At 46.4% G+C, this 23,038-nt stretch overlaps 2 protein-coding genes across 12 annotated transcripts in view, besides 4 other annotated features; one reads left to right on the top strand and one right to left on the bottom strand.

Annotated features, from left to right (window-relative positions):
- Window positions 1-21,274, top strand: part of MESD (mesoderm development LRP chaperone) — a 43,531-nt gene extending 22,257 nt beyond the window's left edge. For both annotated transcript variants that reach the window (NR_126328.2, NR_126327.2), the window contains 2 exons: window positions 15,267-15,604; window positions 18,665-21,274. The gene's annotated coding sequence lies outside the window, so the exon portion shown is untranslated. The remainder of the gene's footprint in view (window positions 1-15,266; window positions 15,605-18,664) is intronic.
- Window positions 446-961: an enhancer, noted in NCBI's record as "NANOG-H3K27ac-H3K4me1 hESC enhancer chr15:81258943-81259458 (GRCh37/hg19 assembly coordinates)". NCBI's record gives its function as "activates a minimal SCP1, AML or CMV promoter by ChIP-STARR-seq in naive H9 embryonic stem cells {active_cell/tissue: H9 hESC(naive)}" and the evidence as "EXISTENCE:reporter gene assay evidence [ECO:0000049][PMID:30033119]".
- Window positions 11,990-12,962: an enhancer, noted in NCBI's record as "OCT4-NANOG-H3K27ac-H3K4me1 hESC enhancer chr15:81246942-81247914 (GRCh37/hg19 assembly coordinates)". NCBI's record gives its function as "activates a minimal SCP1, AML or CMV promoter by ChIP-STARR-seq in naive and primed H9 embryonic stem cells {active_cell/tissue: H9 hESC(naive and primed)}" and the evidence as "EXISTENCE:reporter gene assay evidence [ECO:0000049][PMID:30033119]".
- Window positions 12,963-13,934: an enhancer, noted in NCBI's record as "OCT4-NANOG-H3K27ac-H3K4me1 hESC enhancer chr15:81245970-81246941 (GRCh37/hg19 assembly coordinates)". NCBI's record gives its function as "activates a minimal SCP1, AML or CMV promoter by ChIP-STARR-seq in primed H9 embryonic stem cells {active_cell/tissue: H9 hESC(primed)}" and the evidence as "EXISTENCE:reporter gene assay evidence [ECO:0000049][PMID:30033119]".
- Window positions 13,935-14,907: an enhancer, noted in NCBI's record as "H3K27ac-H3K4me1 hESC enhancer chr15:81244997-81245969 (GRCh37/hg19 assembly coordinates)". NCBI's record gives its function as "activates a minimal SCP1, AML or CMV promoter by ChIP-STARR-seq in primed H9 embryonic stem cells {active_cell/tissue: H9 hESC(primed)}" and the evidence as "EXISTENCE:reporter gene assay evidence [ECO:0000049][PMID:30033119]".
- The window catches only part of CEMIP (cell migration inducing hyaluronidase 1), a 172,402-nt gene continuing 165,155 nt past the window's right edge, over window positions 15,792-23,038 (bottom strand). For all 10 annotated transcript variants that reach the window (XM_047432894.1, XM_047432897.1, XM_047432893.1 and 7 more), the window contains 2 exons: window positions 20,498-20,598; window positions 15,792-18,766 (listed from right to left, as the gene is read on the bottom strand). In XM_047432894.1, the coding sequence (XP_047288850.1) occupies window positions 18,639-18,766; window positions 20,498-20,598 (229 nt within the window). In that variant the 3' untranslated portion in view covers window positions 15,792-18,638. The remainder of the gene's footprint in view (window positions 18,767-20,497; window positions 20,599-23,038) is intronic.

Genomic DNA, 23,038 nt, shown 5'->3' with positions numbered 1-23,038 from the left:
GCTCCAAGTTGGACGACATTGAGTGCCATACTTGCTTTCCCTGGGCCTTACCTCTTCTATAAACAGGGTGGCAAGTCCTGCCAGGCCTGGGATTTACATGCCAGGGTCTGGAAGAAACAAGACAATAGGGATCCTTATTCTAATGCAAAGGAGGTCCCTGACTCCCTTAGGATAGAAGCTTCCTTACAAATTCTCTGAGGTCCTTGCTCTAAATTAAAACTCCCTGAGGGCTCCTACTTCTTTTCTTTTCTTTTTTCTTTTTCTTTTTTTGAGATGGAGTTTCACTCTTGTTGCCCAGGCTGGAGTGCAATGGTGTGATCTCGGTTCACCACAACCTCCACCTCCCGGGTTCAAGTGATTCTCCTGCCTCAGCCTCCCAAGTAGCTGGGATTACAAGCATGCACCACCATGCCCAGCTAATTTTGTATTTTTAGTAGAGGCGGGGGTTTCTTCATGTTGGTCAGGCTGGTCTCGAACTCCTGACCTCAGGTGATCTGCTCACCTAAGCCTCCCAAGTGCTAGGATTACAGGAGTGAGCCACTGCGCCCGGCCAAGGGCTTCTACTTCTAGTTTTAAAATCAATGCCTTGAGCGCATCACCTCGATGGGCCTCAGTTGGAATGGGCCAGCATTTCCCAGAGGAATTTAACCAGCGGAACTGCCCAATAAGGAGGAGTTGGCCACTTCAAGCCAGTTATTTGGGCTTTTGAGATGCAGAATCAGGAGGAAGAGAAGAGGTGCAAAGGTTGTGGAGCAGAGAGGCAGCAGGGTATGGAAGAAGAGGGCCTGAATCAAATACACACACCCACAGTGTACAGTGGCAACTATGCAAGGTGCTTGTAGCTTGCAACAGAGGGATTTTCCAAGGGAGGCCAGAGAAAAGCTTCCTGGAGCAGGTGGCCACTAAGCTGAGATTTGAGCAGGCATGAGTGGACACAGAGGCAGCCTGGAAGCTGGGGGCAGTGGCACAGCAGGAGGGGTGGAAGCTTGGTTTGTGTGTGTGTGCACATGTGTGTGTGAACACACCTCTAATATGGGGAGCACTGGGCCCGTTGAGCTCTCAGGTCTCTCTGTCTGTAATACTCTGTGACTTTCAGAAACCAAAGGGCCTCTGCCACTGGCTCTGCAAATGAGTAGTTTGTTATTACAAACCCTTTGTAAATATTATTTTGATGAGGTATAATAGTTCATCAAATGAGGCCATAATTTATTTGGTCATTTCTGTGTAGATGAACATTTAGGTTATTTGAACCTGTCAAGTCATTATAAATAATGCTACAATGAGCATCTTCATACCCATGCTCTATTTCATTAGGCTAAATCCCCAGATATGTATGTAATTAGTAGGTCCAAAAAAAAAAATGATGATGATTCTTTTAAAGTTCTTGATTGGTTATGCTAAGTATTTTCTAAAATGGTTATTTCTAACTTTCAAAAACTTTATCATGGAAATATCTTAAATGTACACACAAAAAATAGAGTGGGTCACCATTCCTTGTCACCCAGTTCTAATAATTATCAACATTTTAATAATCATTTTTAATCTTTATTTTGGGGAGGAGGCTATACCTCAATTTAGCCAATTTGTTTTTTCTTTTCTTTTTTTTTATTATTATACTTTAAGTTCTAGGGTACATGTGCACAACGTGCAGGTTTGTTACATAGGTATACACGTTCCATGTTGGTTTGCTGCACCCATCAACTCATCATTTACATTAGGTATTTCTCCTATTGCTATCCTTCCCCCAGTCCCCTACCCCACAATAGGCCCTGGTGTGTGATGCTCCCCTCCCTGTGTCCATGTGTTCTCATTATTCAGCTCCCATTTATGAGTGAGAACATGCAGTGTTTGGCTTTCTGTCCTTGTGATATTTTGCTGAGAATGATGGTTTCCAGCTTCATCCATGTCCCTGCAAATAACATGAACTCATCCTTTTTTATGGCTGCATAGTATTCCATGGTGTGTATGTGCCACATTTTCTTTATCCAGTCTATTATTGATGGACATTTGGGTTGGTTCCAAGTCTTTTCTATTGTGAATGGTGCCACAATAAACATATGTGTGCATGTGTCTTTATAGCAACATGATTTATAATCCTTTGGGCATATACCCAGTAATGGGATTGCTGGGTCAAATGGTATTTCTAGTTCTAGATCCTTGAGGAATTGCCACACTGTCTTCTACAATAGTTGAACTAATTTACACTCCCACCAACAGTGTAAAAGTGTTCCTGTTTCTCCACATCCTCTCCAGTATCTGTTGTTTCCTGACTTTTTAATCGCCATTCTAACTGGTGTGAGATGGTATCTCATTGTGGTTTTGATTTGCATTTCTCTGATGACCAGTGATCATGAACATTTTTTCATATGTCTGTTGGCTGCATAAATGTCTTCTTTTGAGAAGTGTCTGTTCATATCCTCTGCCCACTTTTTGATGGTGTTGTTTGTTTTTTTCTTGTAAATTTGTTTAAGTTCTTTGTAGATTCTGGATATTAGCCCTTTGTCAGATGGATAGATTGCAAGAATTTTCTCCCATTCTGTAAGTTGCCTGTTCACTGTGATGATAGTTTCTTTTGCTGTGCAGAAGCTCTTTAATTTAATTAGATCCCATTTGTCAATTTTGGCTTTAGTTGCCATTGCTTTTGGTGTTTTAGTCATGAAGTCTTTGCCCATGCCTATGTCCTGAATGGTATTGCCTAGGTTTTCTTCTAGGGTTTTTATGGTCTTAGGTGTTGCATTTAAGTTTTTAATCCATCTTGAGTTAATTTTTGTATAAGGTGTAAGGAAGGGGTCCAGTTTCAGCTTTCTACATATGGCTAGCCAGTTTTCCCAGCACCATTTATTAAATAGGGAATCCTTTCCCCATTGCTTGTTTGTCAAAGATCAGATGGTTGTAGATGTGTGGTGTTATTTCTCAGGCCTCTGTTCTGTTTCATTGGTTTATATATCTGTTTTGGCAACAGTGCCATGCTGTTTTGATTGCTGTAGCCTTGTAGTATAGTTTGAAGTCAGCTAGCATGATGCCTCCAGCTTTGTTCTTTTTGTTTAGGATTGTCTTAGTTATGCGGGCTCTTTTTTGGTTCCATGTGAAATTTAAAGTAGTTTTTTCCAATTCTGTGAAGAAAGTCAGTGGTAGTTTGATGGGGATAGCATTGAATCTATAAATTACTTTGGGCAGTATGGCCTTTTTCATGATATTGATCCATGAGCATGGAATGTTCTTCCATTTGTTTGTGTCCTCTTTTATTTCATTGAGCAGTGGTTTGTAGTTCTCCTTGAAGAGGTCCTTCACATCCCTTGTAAGTTGGATTCCTAGGTATTTTATTCTCTTTGTAGTGTGAATGGGAGTTCACTCATGATTTGGCTCTCTGTTTGTGTGTTCCTGTTGTATAGGAATGCTTGTGATTTTTGCACGTTCATTTTGTATACTGAGACTTTGCTGAAGTTGCCTATCAGCTTAAGGAGATTTTGGGCTGAGACAATGGGGATTTTTAGATATACAATCATGTCATCTGCAAACAGGGACAATTTGACTGCCTCTTTTCCTAATTGAATACCCTTTCTTTCTTTTTCTTGCCTGATTGCCCTGGCCAGAACTTCCAATACTATGTTGAATAGGAGTGGTGAAAGAGGGCATCCTTGTCTGGAGCCAGTTTTCAGAGGGAATGCTTCCAGTTTTTGCCCATTCAGTATGATATTGGCTGTGGGTTTGTCATAAATAGCTCTTATAATTTTGAGATCTGTTCCATCAATATAGTTTGTTGAGAGTTTTTAGCATGAAAGGCTGGTGAATTTTCTCGAAGGCCTTTTTTGCATCTATTGAGATAATCATGTGGTTTTTGTCGTTGGTTCTGTTTATGTGAGGGATTACATTTATTGATTTGCATGTGTTGAACCAGCCTCGCATCCCAGGGATGAAGCCGACTTGATCGTGGAGGATAAACTTTCTGATGTGCTGCTGGATTCGGTTTGCCAGTATTTTATTGAGGATTTTCGCATTGATCTTCATCAGGGATACTGGCCTAAAATTCTCTTTTTTTGTTGTGTCTCTGCTAGCCTTTGGTATCAGGATGATGCTGGCCTCATAAAATGAGTTAGGGAGGATTCCCTCTTTTTCTATTGATTGGAATAGTTTCAGAAGGAATGGTACCAGCTCCTCTTTGTACCTCTGGTAGAATTTGGCTGTGAATCTGTCTGGTCCTGGACTTCTTTTGTTTGGTAGGCTATTAATTATTGCCTCAATTTCAGAACCTGTTATTGGTCTATTCAGAGATTCAACTTCTTCCTGGTTTAGTCTTGGGAGGGTGTATGTATACAGGAATTTATCCATTTCTTCTAGATTTTCTAGTTTATTTGCATAGAGCTGTTCATAGTATTCTCTGATGGTAGTTTGTATTTCTGTGGAATTGGTGGTAATATCCACTTTATCGTTTTTTATTACATCTATTTGATTCTTCTCTCTTTTCTTTATTAGTCCTGTTAGTGGTCTATTTTGTTGATCTTTTCAAAAACCCAGCTCCTGGATTCACTGATTTTTTTGAAGGGTTTTTTGTGTCTCTATCTCCTTCAGTTCTGCTCTGATCTTAGTTATTTCTTGTTTTCTGCTAGCTTTTGAATGTTTGCTCTTACTTCTCTAGTTCTTTTAATTGTGATGTTAGGGTGTCGATTTTAGATCTTTCCTGCTTTCTTTTATGGGCATTTAGTGGTATCAATTTCCCTCTACACACTGCTTTAAATGTGTCCCTCAGATTCTGGTACATTGTGTCTTTGTTCTCATTGGTTTCAAAGAACATCTTTATTTCTGCCTTCATTTCATTATTTACCCAGTAGTCATTCAGGAGCACGTTGTTCAGTTTCCATGTAGTTGTGCGGTTTTGAGTGAGTTTCTTAATCCTGAGTTCTAATTTGATTGCACTGTGGTCTGAGACAGTTTGTTGTGGTTTCTGTTCTTTTACATTTGCTGAGGAGTGTTTTACTTCCAATTAGGTGGTCAATTTTAGAATAAGTGTGATGCGGTGCTGAGAAAAGTGTATATTCTGTTGATTTGGGGTGGAGAGTTCTGTAGATGTCTATTAGGTCTGCTTGGTCCAGAGCTGAGTTCAAGTCCTGGATATCCTTGTTAATTTTCTGTCTCGATCTGTCTAATATTGACAGTGGCGTGTTAAAGTCTCCCATTATTACTGTGTGGGAGTCTAAGTCTCTTTGTAGGTGTCTGAGAACTTGCTTTATAAATCTGGGTGCTCCTGTGTTGGGTGCATATATATTTAGGATAGTTATCTCTTCTTGTTGAATTGATTCCTTTACCATTATATAATGGCCTTCTTTGTCTCTTTTGATCTTTGTTGGTTTAAAGTCTGTCTTATCAGAGACCAGGTTTGCAACCCCTGCTGTTTTTCGCTTTCCATTTGCTTGGTAGATCTTCTTCCATCCCTTTATTTTGAGCTTATGTGCATCTCTGCACGTGAGATGGGTCTCCTGAATACAGCACACTGATGGGTCTTGACTCTTTGTCCAATTTGCCAGTCTGTATCTTTTAATTGGGGCATTTAGCCCATTTACATTTAAGGTTAATATTGTTATGTGTGAATTTGATCCTGTTATGATGATGCTAGCTGGTTATTTCGCCCGTTAATTGATGCAGTTTCTTCATAGTGTCAATGGTCTTTACAATTTGGCATGTTTTTGCAGTGGCTGGTACAGGTTGTTCCTTTCCATGTTTAATGCTTCCTTCAGGAGCTCTTGTAAGGCAGGCCTGGTGGTGACAAAATCTCTCAGCATTTGCTTGTCTATAATGTTTTTTCTTTCATCTTCTTTGTGATGGTATATTTAGCCAATATCTGACTGTTGACTACTTAGGTTGTTTTACAGTTTTCATCATCATATAAAATGCTGCAGTGAATATCCTTGTCACAAATTCTTGTGCATTTCTGTAGCTCTTTCTTTAGGATAAATTCTTTGACAGAATTTTGGAGCCAAAGTCTGAATACATTTTGCAGTCATTTTTACTTAGTACTAAATTGCTTTACAGAAAATTTGCACCAAATTATTCTTTTATCCTCATTGTCTAGGAGCATTCATTTCTTCTGTCTTTTATAGTTCTTTTTAATATTTTCTAGTTTACTAGGTGGATAATAGCATCTCACTGTTGTTTCAATTTGCATTTTATAATTACCAACAAGGTTTAGTTTTTGAATATATCTTTTGCCATTTTGCCATTTATATTTTTTCTTATGTAATCTGGCCCCCTTTTGCTGTTTTTCTTTCTTTTCTTTTCCTTTTTTTTTTTCTTTTTGTTCCTTACTGCTTTGTAAGAGCCTCTCATATAAAATATCAGCAGAGTCTCAGCAAAAAGCAGATGGCATGTTAAGGAGCATTTAATGGCAGGATTGTTTGCAAATTGTGTGCATAAAGTTTAGGGATCCCAACAAGGAGTAGTGCAATAGCCCTGGGCTTGCAAAAGTGGGGGCCAGTTACCACCCCTAAGCCTGGCGATACTGAGAGAGAGGGCAATTACTGGGACCACGAAAGGGCTCCTGACCAAAGCTCTCATCTTCCTTAGAGGGATACAGTCAACTCACAGAGACACAGTAAAAAGGGAGACAGTGGCATGAATTCCCTAACCCAGGACTTTCCTTCCTCCCTTCCATCTGTTGACGGTGCCTCCAATTGGCCAAACCCAACAGGGAGCCAGAGGGCCAGGGAACAGCTGCTGGACATGTCTCGGCCTCTTGGGGCCTTAAACAGGGCAGAGAAGGGTGTAGAATTGATCTGGAGGCAAACAGAAGATGACTAGACACCCAAAGATAATAATTTCTTTTCTGGGATATGTATTTTAAACTCGTTTCCTGTCAATATTGTTTAGAGTTTCAATAATTTTATGTAGGCATATCAACCAATTTTGATGATTTTTCCTTTGATATTTTGTTTAAGAAAGCGTTCCTCATCCCCAACATTGTGTCATTATTCAACCATATATCAAGTGTTTTCCCTCTAGAATTTGAAGGAGAAATAATTATTTAAAAGATGCAAATAAGTAGAATTTCATTTTAACAGCTTAATTCTTTCTTTCCAAGGGAGTGTAAGTCCTTGTACTCCTTCTTTCCACTTTGTGTAATTGGTTGGTTGAATGTGCTGATCTTGAAAGGTACAAACTGGGAAAGAGTTTTTTTTTTTCTCCGTGCTTTTTTTTTTTTTTTTTAAACACAGGATGTTGTCTGTCACCCAGGATGGATTACAGTGGTGTAATCACAGCTCACTGCAGCCTTGACTTCCCTAAGCTCAGGTGATCCTCCCACCTCAGCCTCCTGAGTAGCTGGCACTACAGGTGGGTGCCACCACACCCAACTAATTTTTGTGTTTTTTGTAGAGATGGGGTTTTTTCCATGTTGCCCTGGCTGGCCTTGAACTCCTGGGCTCAAGTGATCTGCCCACCTTGGCCTCCCAAAGTGCTGGGATTACAGGTGTGAGCCACCACGCCTGGACTCAGTGCTGTCTTAAACCCCCTTTGTTCACTCAGCCTTCTGTCAGTGATGAGCTGGCTGGGACCAGCTGGTGAAAACCAATTGTTAAATAGACAGGAATTTTACAAGCTGGTTGCGAAACCATTGCAGCTGAAAATCAGCCATGATGGGAGAATTTACACTATGGGCATCAACAAATACTACGAACAGGGCTTCTCCCACCCACCGCCCCACTCCCCCTGCTTCCAGTTGAGTTTACCTGCACACCACTGCTCTTACCCACTTCTTTTTGAGCACTTCCAGGAGATAATGGGGACATGAGCTATTCTTCTCTCTTCCACTTTGCTTTTTCTCTCCACTTCTTCCATCTCTTCCTATTCCTGCTGGCTCCTGCAGGGGCACAAAGGTGGGGGGATTGGAAGAAGAGGGGTTAAAAATCTTTAATAATTTATGTTATGGTAGAAAGAGGGTTCGTAAGTGTTCTCCGTTATGGCAGGTGTCCATTTATTGGCTGTTTGGCATGTTTGGAGAATATGCCCAAGATCCCCCTTACCAACTTTGATCTGAGCAAGACATTTTCTAGCTGAATACTGGTGAAACCCCTTGGAGTTGCCCTATATCCTCTTTCTATCAGGAACCCCTTCAGCTAAGCAGGCAGCCACTTGGAACAGGGCCCTTTCAAACTAGCTCACACCAGGGCCGCACTAATTTCCACAATGTACACTTGACTCGTGGGAAGCCTCACACATCCTCCCAGCCAAAAGGAGTGAATGCACTGACCCAGAGGCTGCCCTTCATCCTTCCAGGCACTGCGGCAGCTCCAGCCTCCATCTACCTTCGGTCATCTCTGGGCGAGAGGCACCTTCAACCTCTACCCTCTCACATGGCAGGCATGCAAGGCAGGCTCTCCGGAAAACTGTCTCCCCCAACTCCAACAGCAGCTGGATGACCTGTGAGTTTTAGGCACTCAGCAAGTGTCCAGCTGAGAAGTAAAATGTCAATCTCTTCCTTTGGTAAATCTCCGCAATCTCCCCAAGAGGGGTTCTCTTGGAGCCTCTCACCGGGCTTAGGGGATGCACCCTTTGAGAGAGGGGAAACCCAATAGCACATTGACTCTTGTAAATTTCCTTCAGGGCATCTCCCCTTCAATGACTCTCCAGCCTTCTCTTCCTTAGCCTGGAGGTGGGTCACCACTTCTTACCAAGTCCTTCACGGCTACTCTAGGGGCTTTTCCTCAGAATATGGGGGTAACTGTCATCTATTGCCTCAACAATTGCCATTCCATAAACTGACACATCAAGGACCTTGAAAAGACAATCCTGCTCCCAACCTGATCACATTGAAGACAGGCTGCAATTGCAAGGCCTCTGCAGATTGTTTATACTGCTAAAGGGTGGTGACCCCTGAGAGATAGTTCTTTGCTCAGCAGAGCACCTTGATGAGTGTTTGGATATGAAAAAAAAATGCCTAAGGCCAGGCACGGTGGCTCATGCCTGTAATCCCAGCACTTTGGAAGGCCAAGGCAGGCAGATCACCTGAGCTCGGGAGTTCGAGACCAGCCTGGGCAACGTGGCAAAACCCCATCTCTACCAAAAAATAGAAAAAATTAGTTGAGTGTGGTGGCGCATGCCTGTGGTCTCAGCTACTCAGGAGGCTGAGGTGGGAGAATTGCTTGAACCTGGGAGGTGAAGGTTGCAGTGAGCCAAGATCGCACCACTGCTCTTCAGCCTGGGTGACAGAGTGAGACCCCATCTCTAAATTAATTAATTAATTGAAATAAAATAAATGCCTGGGACCAATCTTTTTATTGATGAGAGAGCAACAATTCTATACCTGATAAGGCAAGGAGAATTCTGATGTTCTAGTAGCAGCCTGACCCAGGAATTTACTTAAGGTGTGTGTAGGCGAATGGGAGGGTAGAGGAACTTCTGGGAAATGATGACTAATATTCTATTTGAAGCTGTTGCTATGCCATATTCCTAAATCTTCAGCAAAATTCCGCTATAAATAACTTCCTTGTGTTTGTGTAATTTGAGGAAATCAAGAAGAAAAGAGGCAATCTGGGATGGTGAATTTTATGTATCCACTTGACTGGGCCAGGGGCTACCCAGAGATTTAGTCAAATATGATACTGGGAGTTTCAGTGAGAATGTTTCTAAATGAGATTGACATTGGAATTGGTAGACTGGGGAAAGCAGATGGCCCTCCCTAATATGGGGGTGGGGGGGTGGGTGGCGCTTCATCCAACCAGTGGAAGGCCTGAATAGAACAAAAAGGCTGAGTAAGAGAGAGTTCCTTCTGCCTGACAGCCTTTGAGCTGAGACACTGCTTTTTGGGCTGAGCTGAAACATTGGCTCCTTCTGGGTTTCAGAGCCTGCCAGTCTTCAGACTGGAGCTACACCACAGCTCTCCTGGGTCTCAGGCTTGTAGACTGCCAGTCTTAGGACTTGTTGGTCTCTGTAATTGCATGAGCCAATTTCGTGTGTGTGTGTGTGTGTGTGTGTTTTGCAGTGGATGGGGATTGCCAAGTTTCTTCCAATCATGGGAGCCTAAGCAAGTTCAGCTAAATATGAAGAGAGGAAAGGTGGTCTCTAAAAACTGACCACGCTCAAGCAGCCAGTGTTTACAGTGGTAAGCCTGTAGGCAACAAATAATTTAATTTTATTTTCTTGGCAGAACCTGAAGGTCTTTCATTTTTAGCTGGGAAACCTAGGTTGGTTACATACTGTTACTGCTGTTGTGGCTGGACTCCTCTTTACCCAGGTGTTGTGTGGTCATTTTCATGTCATCTTTCTGTCCTCTCTTTATGGAGACTGTATTTTGTTTTTTTTTCTTCTGCAGTGGTAGGGAGATGTCTCATTTTTAAATGCTATTCATTATCATCATTAGTTTTTGTTTTCCTTCTTAAACCTATAATTATAACTCTGTTAATGTCTAAAACAACATGAGACAATTTCCTCCCACAAGAGAAGATGAAGAAGCTGAGCATGGTGGTTCATATCTATAATCCCAGCACTTTGGGAGGCTGAGGTGGGAGAATTGCTTGAGCTCAGGAATTTGAGAGCAGCCTGGGCTACACAGTGAGACCCCATCTCTACAAAAAAATAAATAAATAAATAAATAGCTGGGCATGGTAGCGTGAGCCTGTAGTCCCAGCTACTCAGGGGGTGAGGTAGGAGGATCCCTTGAGCCTGGGAGGTCGAGGCCACAGTGAGCTAGGATCATGCTTCTGCACTCCAGCCTGGGTAACAAAACAAAACCCTCTGTCTCAAACAAAAAAAAAGAGAGAAGATGAAGAGCTTAACACAGCCACCCCCTCTGCATGCTCCGTCCTTGTATCTGTTTTGCTTGTTATTACCATATATCCCAGGTTTGTAAAACCCAACTTTCCTTTGTAAATATTAACAATTGGCTATCTCAGAATTGCTTTTGGCTTTGCACCGAATTCTGTGTTTATATTTATAAAACTTATTGCAATATCTTTGTGGTTTTAGGGTTGGCTGCTGGCTTTTTTTTCCTGTTCCCCTTACCCCAATTGTAAATTCTTGATTTTGTTTCTCTATCTGATTAGAGAACACCTCAATGTTTTCTGGAAGAGCACCCTCGTGCTACTCTTTCTAAGCCTTTGTGTGTCCGAGAACTGTTTTCTTTTGCTCTCACCATGAATAACACCTAAGCCCAACTTTTCTGTAGACATGTTCCTTGTCTTCAATAATTAGTGTGTGGAGACCGGGGAAGAAAGAAGGAATCTTGCAGTCGAGGGGAGCAGTTGGACGCCTTCCGATTCTTAGCCCAGAGCTCTCCGTCCAACACACTTCATGTCATCATAGCTGGGCAGCCTTATATAAAATCCATTCTAAACTGGCTGCCTAGGCTCTTAGGGTCTTTTTTATTTTATTTTATTATTATTTTTTTAGACAGGATCTCACTCTGTCACCCAGGCTGGAGTGTAGTGGCGCGATCTCGGCTCACCACAGACTCTACCTTCCAGGCTCAAGTGATCCTCCCACCTCAGCCTGCTGAGTAGTTGGGACCACAGGCATGAGCCATCACGCCTGGGTAATTTTTGTATTTTTTGTAGAGATGAGGTTTTGCCATGTTGCCAGTCTGAGTCATGCATGACTCATGACAGTGTGAGCCACTGTGCCTGGTCTCTTAGAGACTCCTAAAACCACACTTCTCAGCCGGGCGCAGTGGCTCACACCTGTAATCCTAGCACTTTGGGAGGCCGAGGTGGGTGGATCACCTGAGGCAAGGAGTTTAAGACTAGCCTGGCCAACATGGCGAAAACCCGTCTCTACTAAAAATGCAAAAAATTAGCCAGGCGTGGTGGCTCAGGCCTGTAATCCCAGCTACTCAGGAGGCTGAGGCAGGAGAATCGCTTGAACCTGGGGGGCGGAGGTTGCAGGGAGCCGAGATTGCATCACTTCACTCCAGCCTGGGCTAAAGAGACTCTGTCTCTCTCACACACACACACACACACACACGCACAAACACACACTTCTCAAACTTTACTGTGCAAACAACTACCCTGGGTCCCTTCTTAAAATGCAGATTCTGATTCAGCTGATCTGGGAGAGCCTGAGATTGGGCATTTCTTTTTTTTTTTTTTTTTTGAGACGGAGTCTCTCCGTCGCCCAGGCTGGAGTGCAGTGGCGCAATCTCGGCTCACTGCAAGCTCCGCCTCCTGGGTTCACGCCATTCTCCTGCCTCAGCCTCCCGAATACTGGGACTACAGGCACCTGCCACTGCGCCCGGCTATTTTTTTTTTTTTGTATTTTTAGTAGAGACAGGGTTTCACCGTGTTAGCTAGGATGGTCTCGATCTCCTGACCTCGTGATCCGCCCGCCTCGGCCTCCCAAAGTGCTGGGATTACAGGCTTGAGCCACCGCGCCCGGCCGAGATTGGGCATTTCTAACCAGCTCCTGGTTATACTCCTGGGTGGTGCTGAACTTTTTTTTTTTTTTCTAGTAGAGACAAGGTCTCGCTGTGTTGCCCAGGCTGGTTTTGAATTCCTGGGCTCAAGCGATTCACCTGCCTCAGCCTCCCAAAGTGCTGGGGCTACAGGTGTGAACCACCTCCCCCAGCTGATGCTGATGATGCTGATGCCATTGGCCCATGGACCACACTGAGTAGCAGGCTTTAGAGCACAGGCATCCAATCTTTTGGCTTTCCTGGGCCACATTGGAAGGAGAATTGTCTTGGGCCATACGTAAAATACACTAACACTTAACGATAGCTGATGAGCTTTAAAAAAATGCAAAAAAACTCATAATATTTTAAGAAAGTTTACAAATTAGCGTTGGGCTGCATTCAAAGCCATCCAGGGCTGCATGTAGCCCACTGGCGGTGGGTTAGACGAGCTTGCTTTATAGCTTTCAAAGCTGAGTCATGCATGTTGTTGATTCTGTTTGATGCTCCTGATTGTTTTCTGTGAGGGAGGGCAGTTCCTGGGACAATGAACTCTTCCCTTCCTCCATCCCCTCCCCCAACCCTCACCATTACCTCTGTCTGCTCTCCTTCTCACCCCAACCCAGCCCTGAGGACATGAGGGCACTGCCAGGTGCCTGTGGACTTGATCCTCCCAGGATTAAGCCCTTCCCACCACCCACATCCTACTCCTTTCCCTGCCATTGAGAAAACCTCTGCCGCCTACCTAGCCCCCAGGCTAAAACAGCTAGGATGGGGTCAAAGGGCTCAGGATTTTGGCTTCAGTACTGGAGGCAGGAGGGTTGCGCTAGGGTCGGCTTTTATGCCTTTGTTCAACACAGCAAGCACACATTACCCAACAGAACTCTGCCAGATATGGGAAAACCTATGGCCTATGCTCTGCAGGAGGCTACAGTCTGGAGGAAGGGGTGAATGTTAGCCTGGGACAGGGGGCGCAATATCAAGGCACTGGGCCCTGGGCCCAGGAGAGGAAGGAGAAAGCTGCCAGGCATGGGTCAGAGAAGGCTTTGTGTGGAGCTACGCCCTGGAACATGAGTAGGCGTGGGCCAAGCCGAGAGGAGAGAGGGCAGGGTGGGTCAGGTCATCTACCATGTTATGAGGACTCTAAGATCCTTGAGCCAGTGGGAGGGGATGAGGATTAGGGCTCATCTGGGGATTGGGGATGAGGAAGGAATGGGTGACCAGATTGGAGATGCAGGCATATGCCACCTCAGGGACTGCCTGTGTGCCCAACTCAGCATACCCTGTGTGCCTGTGGGTATGGGAACAAAATTCTCCCAAACGCCTGCTTCCAGCTTTGTGCCGTTGCGTTTTCTTTAGGCAGATGTTGTTAGCTGTCACTGCACTGACCTCTAAGGCCACCCCAGCCTCCATGAGTGAACGCCCATGCCTTCACCCCTCCTGTCTGTGGGGAGGAACCCCACCCCCTTTCCTCCAGCAACTCCTACACATCGCCTCCAGGCCTTCCCAGCACCATTCCCTCACCAGGAATGTTCTTTGCCCTTCTTCACTTAGTTCATTCCTATGCATTCTGCAAAACTTAACTCTGCCACACTTTTCTGACCTGTCCCCTCCCAGGCTGGTGAGGGAGAGCAGATCATCCTGTCTGTCTCCCTGCGGACAGGAACGGAAGGTGCCCACTGGTCACCTAATGCATTGCAGTGACTACTTGTGGGATCTGGTGACTATTGCAGGGACAAATGAAGGACCCTGAAGTGCCTGCCTGTCCCTCCACCCCAACCTCTCTGTGGCTTCTTTTGCTGTGCGTCTAGCTGGGTGCAGTGTCCCATTGCTCGACGGTTCCTCGTTGGCGTCTGCTTTCCAAGTCCTCCCTGGATGCCTCTTCTATGCACCTACTGAATCAGTGGGCTGTGCTCTCTTTCACACAGTGACACTTCTGGCTGAGAAGTCACTAGTAACCCCCCACCCTCTTTCATCACAGCCAGTGGGCCCTAAAGCTGACCCTGTGTTTGGCCCAACCCACCTTCCACTTTGCCTCTCATGACTGAGCCTTGATTTATGCCCAGGTGTTCTCAAGCCCACACTCTGATAGCTGCCCCTCTGTCAGACTCTGCCTCTTACAAAAGGCCCTTCTCTTATCCATCTCTGACTCTCAGGCCAACACCTGTCCTACTTCCACTCACTGACCTTCCCTGACCAATCCAGGCGATGATCACTCCCTGCCCTCAGAAGCCTGCCACACCACTCATTGGGCAGGTAATTTCATGTTCTCCATGGGGTCATTCTGTGTTCCTCTGTGTGCACCGTGCCTGGCACAGAGCAGGGGTGCAAAAATATTTGTTGACTGAGTGTGCAAGTGTGATCTCTTTCTCCTGGCAAAGTTTCCTGAAGGTAGAGGCCGTGTACTCTCTACTGCACAGCTGACTTTATGCCCAAAGCTAGTCTGCCAGATATATTTGTGTATTGGCAGCTTAAAACGACCAATCTGGTACCAGCCCCTTTAAGTGAATTGACTATACACAGATGCACACAGACAGACAGACAGAGAGACATACACACACACACACACACACACGAGACATAGTTGTTTTGTTTTTAAACCCAATGCATAAGACCCAGGAGCTCTTTGGAAATCAAGAGAAGAACTCTCTGTGGTGATGGAAATGTTTTATATCGACTCTATCCTATATGGTAGCCACTAGACACACATAGCCATTGAGCACTTGAAAATTGTGGCCAATGTGATTGAGGAACTGCATTTTTAATTGCATTTAATTTAAATTAATTTAAATGTAGGTAGCCCCATGAAGCTAGTGGCTGCCCTCCTGGACTGGCAGTTCTGGACCACTCCCAGTTCACCTGCTCTAACCTCTGCCTCTCACTCTCTCCCTTCCAGACCCCTGAGCCCCTTCCAGTGCTGCCTGAGGTGCCCTCTACCTGTGCCTGCCTCTCGTCTGCCAGTTTGATTTGGACCTGTTTTTCCCACCTCAGCCCCCATGCTCTTGTCAAACGTGTTTGGCCTCCAGCCAAACAGGGCCTGGGAGGAAAAGAGAGTCCTGCTTCTGCCTGGCTTCCCCATCGGGGAGGGGAGTTGAAGTGACAGCCTCCTGACAGCTTAGAAATGTGGAGGACGCAGCAAGTTCTGGACATGGCCAGCCATATGAATGATATCTTCTCTTTCTTTGAACCATCTCCACCTGCTCTTATGGACACCCCGCCTTGGGGCAAGGCAAGGTAGGATCTTGACATATGACTAGCTCTTGGGAATAAGGCCATGGAAGTAAGGCAGACACATGGGGTGATTTCATCAGCCTTATTATCCTTAGATAACTGTTTATCTTAGGTTATCCTTAGATAAGTTATTATCCCTAGATAAAATGAAGCCCATTTTAATAGAAAATGAAACAAACAGACAAGATGATGACATCCTTTGTATGTTTACTATAATAACAGCAAAATTTTTCCAAACCAGAGCCAATTTCCTTGGCTCTAGGTACACCCCTTCCAAGCAATGCAAAGGACATCTCCAATCATGACATTTAAGACAATTCTTTATTTCTCTGACAGTGACTTCTTGAAGTGCACATATAATAAATAAATAGAAAATATATCTTTGTTCATGGTGATGCCTACAAGAAATGTTTACATACAAACACTCTATACATCTAACTCCCGAAAAAGGACCAGCTATTTCGGCAACAGAAAAAAGACAAGCATTTCAGAGGAGCGTTGCTTTCCTTAAAGACCTAACTCACTTAAGTCTTACAAACAGAAATAACAAGGAGGACAATTTTCTAAGCAATAAGAAAATTTGTGCTACCAAGAAAATGCCTAGATATTGGCTCTTGGTGAATGGTTTAGGAAAGAAACTTTTATGTACAGATCCTGTACTGTGAAACATATGTACAACTCTGAGAACTTTCAAATAGATATCTTTTTTAAATGAACTGAGCCAAAGACATTCAACATTCCTGGCCACCTGAAAGTGATCACATCCTAAGTGGTTCACAGTGTGAGACCCTTGCATTAGAAGAGTGAAAACTCAACAAAACCGTGGACAAGAAGGACATGAGGTCATTTTAACTCTCCTCTCCATCACCACTAATCTCCCTGGAAGAAGTCCTTCCTGTGACTCTGGCCTTTGAAGCAGCCATATCTTTAAAAGCAGAGCCCTATGGTCACCTCCCAGCAGCTGAAAGATGTTTGGTGGGAAAGACCTCCCTGACAGTTGGCTCCCACCTGGGGAATGGACTCTTGGACCGAGTCTCATGGGTGCAGTTGGGTGGAGGGAGCCAGGCAGGCCCTCTTTGAAGGAAAGAGTTTGTGGTTGGGGCAGGAAAGGGGATAAATGTAGTTCATCACAAGACCCAGGGAGACTCTGGTGCCTCGTGCAAGATTATAAACCACAGATAGAGTTCTCCCTCTTACAGGAGCTCTTTGGGCTCTCTATAAGGTGGGCCAGGGAGAGAGCAGGGCATTAAGCAGCAGCTGAAAGGGACTGGGGTGGACCCAATAGCTGTTCAGACACCCAAGATCAGCCAAATTGGCTCACCAGAAACATGGCGAGCCCTACTCCCTCTGCTGGGCCTCACCTGTAGAGCTGCAGAGACAGGAGAGCCAGGTAGCACCAATGGGGAGTTGCAGCTACTGTGCACCCAGGCTGGGCTGACAGGTAGTGAACAAAGTGAAGGCCACAGGGACCGCCAACACCAAGGGGAGGGCGGGTTTGTGTGCGCTGGGAGCAGGAGGGAAGAGATCTGCTAGCTGTCATTCTACTCTAGTCATTTCCTTTCCTTCGAGGGGACTTGTCCCCATTTCCAGAAGCTACCTCAGGAGTGCCTGGGCACTCTGGGGCCGGTTGTTGAGGCAATGTGGTGTGGCAGCAAGGGCTAGGGTGGGGCTCCCCAGGCCCTCCCTTAGCTGTGTGGTTCTTTCCCATCTTGGGGGCTCACTTTCCCCATCTGTTAAAATGAAGGCTTTGGGCTAGATATTTTCTATATTTCCAGCTCTGAAATCCCAGGCCGAGGGAGTACGAGCACATCTAGGGTCTCCTGGAGGCCCCCTGTGCTCAGTTCCCTGGATGAAGAGCAAATGAGGCCCTAAGGCAGGAGCTCACTTCTGTGGACTTCACCCTCTTGGAGTCAGAGGCAGGGCTGCCTGGGGACTGAATTCCTCTGTGCTCATAAGCAGCAAAGCCCATTGCTCCCCTCTGACCACACTTCTCCATCATGAGTGGGCCAGAGAGACGTGAGCAAAGGGCGACCCCGTAGTCACCAGCTTCAGCAGGCAGCGGCAGGGAGGGCTGAATCCCTGAGCCATTCCAGAGGCTGCCTCATCTCCCCCCAGCAAAATGCCCCCAGCCTTCATTCCTGTAAGCAAGAAGCCTTCCTGAGCCTCCCCTCTGAAATGGCACTGGCCTCCATTTTACCTCTCTGTGATTTCTCCACCTGGCATTGCAGTGCACATGGACCTGACTGCCTGCCCTACTGGACTGCAGACCCCTCAAGCTAGGCATTAGTTCTCACCTCTCCATCCCGTGTGCGCTGGGGCACCCAGCATCATGGATATCAGTGGATATCCATGAACTGTTGGGTTCCAGGTACCATGTGAAATGCAGCAGATTTCTGGAATCTCAGAACTAAAAGGGCCTTTGAGAGTCATCTAGTCCAAGTCCAAACCTGCCACTCAAAGTCTCCTGAAAGGTGGACACGGCCAGAGGCAGGGCTTGCCTCTTCCCCAAGGATAGCCAGTTCTACCCCAGCTCCTAATCCTGTGAGGTTGGCTCTTGCTTACAGGAGTAAAGATTTCCTTAAGGCCAAGGCTCTTTCTCCTACATTTACCACCCTCACTTGTCTGCTGAAGACCATGGGGATCTGTGAATGACCAGCCCTCCAGACTACCTCCTAGCTGGGTCAGGGCTCCTGCCAAAGTGGATCTTTGCTGTCAGCACAACCCAGGTCTCCTGATATGGTCCCCAAACCCCCACTGAAGAGGCACAGATAGGAGAGAAGCACCCAAGAGGCTGCAGGAAAGTGAATGTTTCCAGCATTGGCCAGCACCGCCCCAGGGGCTCCAGGTAGACACTTGAGTAGGGGCAGGTGGCAGCACCAGGGTCTCTGATAGCCTTCCCTTGGCCCATCAGGGCTGAAACACGGCCTTCCCAGGCAGCTGCTGGCAGGGGCTGGGGGACCCAGCCATCCCCCACTGGTCTGCTGCCAAGAGTCACCGTCATAGTCTACCACGAGGTGGCACCGGGCGGCAGCTGTCCTCACAACTTCTTCTTCTTCACCACAGGGATGGGCACAACTTGGAAGATTTTGGCTTTGTGATCCTCAGTGTCCAGTGTCACCCAGATGGGCCGGAAGCTGCCTTTGAAGCCAACGAATGCCATTTGCTCTGAAAAGCAATGATGAGTCTCCTGAGCAAAAGCCCTATGAGAGGACGGCTGCCCCACCCCGTTCCATGGCTCCCCATCGCCAGCCCCCCACGCCCACCAGGTACCGCCTAGCCACACTGCACTGTGGCCCCTTGGGAAGAGCTCTGTGCTCAGCTACTGATGGTGCCTGACATGTGTTTGTATGGGGCAGGCAGGGTCTCACCTGAGCCTCACTGCCACCTAGGCAGGGTGATGGCTTTGTTGTAGACAGGGGAGCCATGCACAGCAGGAAATGGGGCAAACTGTAAGGGAGGAGACCTCCTAGGAACCTGCCTACCTTTGAGCTGCCCCTAGGACAACCAGCAAGTCCCTGCCCCTCTCTGAAGCCCAGTGTTCCCATCCATCAAATGATGGCATTGATCTACAAGATCTCCTTCCCCACTCTATCACTCTGTGGCTCTAGAAAGAGTTCTGAGAGGTGAAGAAATTTGACCAAGAGTGTGGAGTAAATGGTGCACCCCAGATTAGAACTCTAAACCCCTGAAACCCACACAGCACTCTCCATCTTGCAGTTCACAGCTTGAGCATCCGAGGGGCATGGGAATCCACGTCTATACTCAGCCCATCTTGGCAGGCAACATGCATTTATCACCACCGGGAAAGTGCCATTCAACTTAGGTCACCTTACATACATCAGCTTTTGGCAACCGGGATCTTAATTTAAAAGACAGAGGCTCCAAAATGATTTCAGGACTGGGCTGGAAAGGATACTTCTCTTTTCCTTATGTCCTCCTTTGGCTGGTTTGAAGGGTTTGCATTGCTTCTGATTTTTCTCATTGCCCCATATGATGGGTTTCTGATTTTGATGTTTTCCATAGTGAGGATGGTGTATAACTAAGAAGCCCAGCTTTGAGTTAGGAAGATTAGGATCCAAGTCCTAACCTTAAGCAAGTGGCTTGGCTGTTAAATTCTTGGTGTCCTCATCTTAAATGGAAATAATAGTACCTGCTGCACAGGTTATTAATGAGTAAGTGAGATAATTATAACATGTTGTGCAAAGTGCAAGGCTGAACATTGAATAGCAACCACAATGATCATTATCATTATTGCCCGTGGAGCTTCTCTGCCGCCCATACAGCCTCTCTGAGGACTCTCCCTGCACCTAGTTTTTGTGATGATAATGGGTGTCATGCTGACATGTCCCTCCTGGATGGCTTCTTCCAGCACAGCCAGCAAGCCTGTGCTAGGCTTCACCACCGAAGCTGCCTGGCCTTGGACAAGCCATGTAGGTTCTCTGGGCTTTAGTTTTCTGGAACAAATAAGAGTTTTGCAAGCTGCAAAGGACTGTACAAACGCTAGGCATCAGCTAGAATGTTGAAGAAGATGCAGGACCCCTGGCCAGTCTGAATAGCAGGAATTGGGTAGGAGGGTGAGACTAAGCCACTTTTCTTATGATACTTTTGTTGAATAAAGGGCCACTTTCCAAGCAAATGAGTCAACAAATATAGCAATTTTCTTTCAGTGGCTGGTGGCAAGTTATAATAAATTTGCTGCAGTGCAGGGGTGGTAAACAGGTGGCATCTTGCCCATCCATTCCAGTAGACCACTAGTTGTGTGGGGGATTCTTAGGTTGTACCCACGTTTAGTACAAAGCATGTTCTCAACTCAGCAAAAGATGACAGCACCCTCCATGCCAGGCATTTGCCTTCTCTGGTTTTGGGGTCAGTTTAAACCCCAGTTCAAACCCTTACCTTTCAACTTGAGACCCCTGTCTGCCCCAAGCTTTTCCAGCACTCTGGTCCATGGGCCTCTGGAGACGTATCTTCCCTTTGATGCCATAAGCACTATGGAACTGTGTGAGAAGAAACCAATTAGACCAGAGGGAGAGAGCAAACTGGAGAAAGTGGGCATGGGGAGGGATGTTGGTTTGTGCATGGTGGGACTGGAGTTAGCAGTGCCCAGAGGCCTGTCCAGGGATTCGGGAAAGGGCAGCCTCTCCTGTGTTCTGAGCTGACGGGCTCTTTCCATGTGGTGACGAACATCCTGAGCTCCCTCCCACACATCTGGCCACAGTTGGTGCCCACAGCCTTCTCCAAGCCTGGACTTGGCTCACCGCGTTTACATGTCTCTCTCCAAACAGAGGAGAGGATGTAAGCAGAGCGTACCATGCCAGGGCTCGGCACACAGTAGGACTTCGATATGTATCTCTTCCCTTGAATGTTCTCAACCCTGGTTAGGTAAGACCAGATAGAAATGTGGTGATGGAGGAAGGAAGGAGAAAGGGAAGAGAAAGAGAGGAGGTGCGGGAAGGCGGAGGGGAGCATCTGTCAAATCATAAAACCATCCAGGAGCTCCTGAAGGTTCTAGATCCTGAAGGTTCTAGAGACCAGCTCCATTTGGCATCCCCTGGGATTTCATTAGAACCACAGAATTCCTCCATTGCAGACTTCCTGAATCAGAATCTGCATTTTTACAAGATCTGCAGGTGATCATGTATACATTAAAGCTCGAGAAGCCCCATGCTAGAAGATTTCTCTTGGAGCGCATCTTTCTTTTGCTGTCTTCTTTTGATGGACACAGGCTTAGTGTAGTCCAGAGCCAGCCTTCTCTGAGCTGCAGGAAGAGCATGGCCAGGTTTGAAGTCTTTCTGGGAGAACACCATGTCGTTACCATGATGCTCGGGTTGTACCAAGAGCTCAGATTGACCTCTTACGTTCACGTCACCTCTCTCTGGTTAGGCAACACAGGGCTATTGCCTCTATTTTGCAAATGGGGAGATTGAAGCAAATAGTTACCAAGTATCTCAGAGGACCTACCAAAGGGAAATGTGCTTGAAAGACACAGAGGTTTGGAGCAATGTGTGCACCCAGCCTGAAGGTCCCAAATTGCAAAAGTTCGACTTGGGAATAAGGAGTGTCTATCCCCTGCCTCGGGGTGTATTCAGTCCAAAGTGCTGGGAAAATAGCCTTCACAGTGGCAGACTCAGCACACTGGGCCAGATAGGAGGAAGTGAGCACCTCCCTTGGGAATAGAAATGGGGCAGAAGCTCAATGGGGCGTCCAGTTTGTATCTCAAAGGAACTCTGTAACCACAGACCACAGTCCAGACATGGAAAAACTGTATAGGATTCTGGAACCTGTTGTTACCCCCATTTGTGTCCCACTGGGAACAGCGGGAAAGATCTTAAGATGCGAAGGGCTTGTGTGAAATAAGGATAGATGGGAAGGGAGCTGGGGCTGCCTCAGGCCCTTGAGGAAGGCTGGAGAGGGAGGCCCAAAGGGTTGGTAGGGTGAGGCCCCTTAAGGAGACAGGTCTCATTGCTAACACATCCTCCACTCTAGATTCAGGATCTGTTCTCAGGAGGATATTTCTGCATTGTTTCATTTCAGAACAAAAGCTAATGGTCCTTTGTTGGAGCTCAGCCTTCCTACTTGGGGGACTCAAATGTAGGTCTTGCCCTCCTGATGGGGATCTAAGTTAGCTCACAGGAGCGGGACAGAGAGATGGGCTTCTTGTGTCCCCACCCCTTCCCACTGATGCCCAGAAGCCTGCCTACCTATGTTGGGAACACTTCTTTGCCTGGTGTGCCATCCTCATGGCCTATAAGCCCATGCCCCAGCCAGCACAGTCTCCCACAGAGTGGCAGTGCAGAGGCAGCTCCCAGAAGCCATGCTAGATGTTTCTGGTGTGAGCAGCTGCCCTCTTCTCTCCCCAGGACCCTGGGGCCAGTAGTGGCCTGCTGGATGGGGTAGGAAGCATGGGCCAGGCTAGGCAGGGCCCGCAGCCACAGTAGAACAGGATCTACCTTGCCTCATTCCCTGCTGCTTTCCAGGAGGTTAGAGAGGGGTCTAGTGGTACCAATGCCTGCCTGGGTGCCCAGCGCCAGCCCAGGGAGTGGCCCATTCCAGTAAGGGCTTCCCCCAGAGAGGTGCTGCTGCTCGGGCTGGTGGGAGCCTTGCACATGGTTCCAAACAGAGTAGCACTGCAGTCTAGTTTCTTATTCCAAGCTTCTGCATCATCTTTCATTTCAAAAGAAAATTCTCTGCCCAAAACGTCATGATCTCTAGAGGATAACTATTTTTCCCAATTTGGTCAACCTTGTCCTCTGTCTGAATCTGCATATGAAAAATAGAATGCCGAAGAAGCATCTGATGGGGGAATGAGGGAGGGAGTAAATGTGGTTAAGCAAAATCCCATTATCCAAAATCTCGCCAGGTGCCCAGTTCACGTCGTGCCCCTCATGGAGTCAGCATCTGGGAAGTACATTTGCTTTCATTTAATAACTATTAATG

This window comes from Homo sapiens, chromosome 15 (genome assembly GCF_000001405.40).
Source record: "Homo sapiens chromosome 15, GRCh38.p14 Primary Assembly".
NCBI lineage: Eukaryota > Metazoa > Chordata > Mammalia > Primates > Hominidae > Homo > Homo sapiens.
This window is presented reverse-complemented; position numbering and strand designations above follow the sequence as displayed.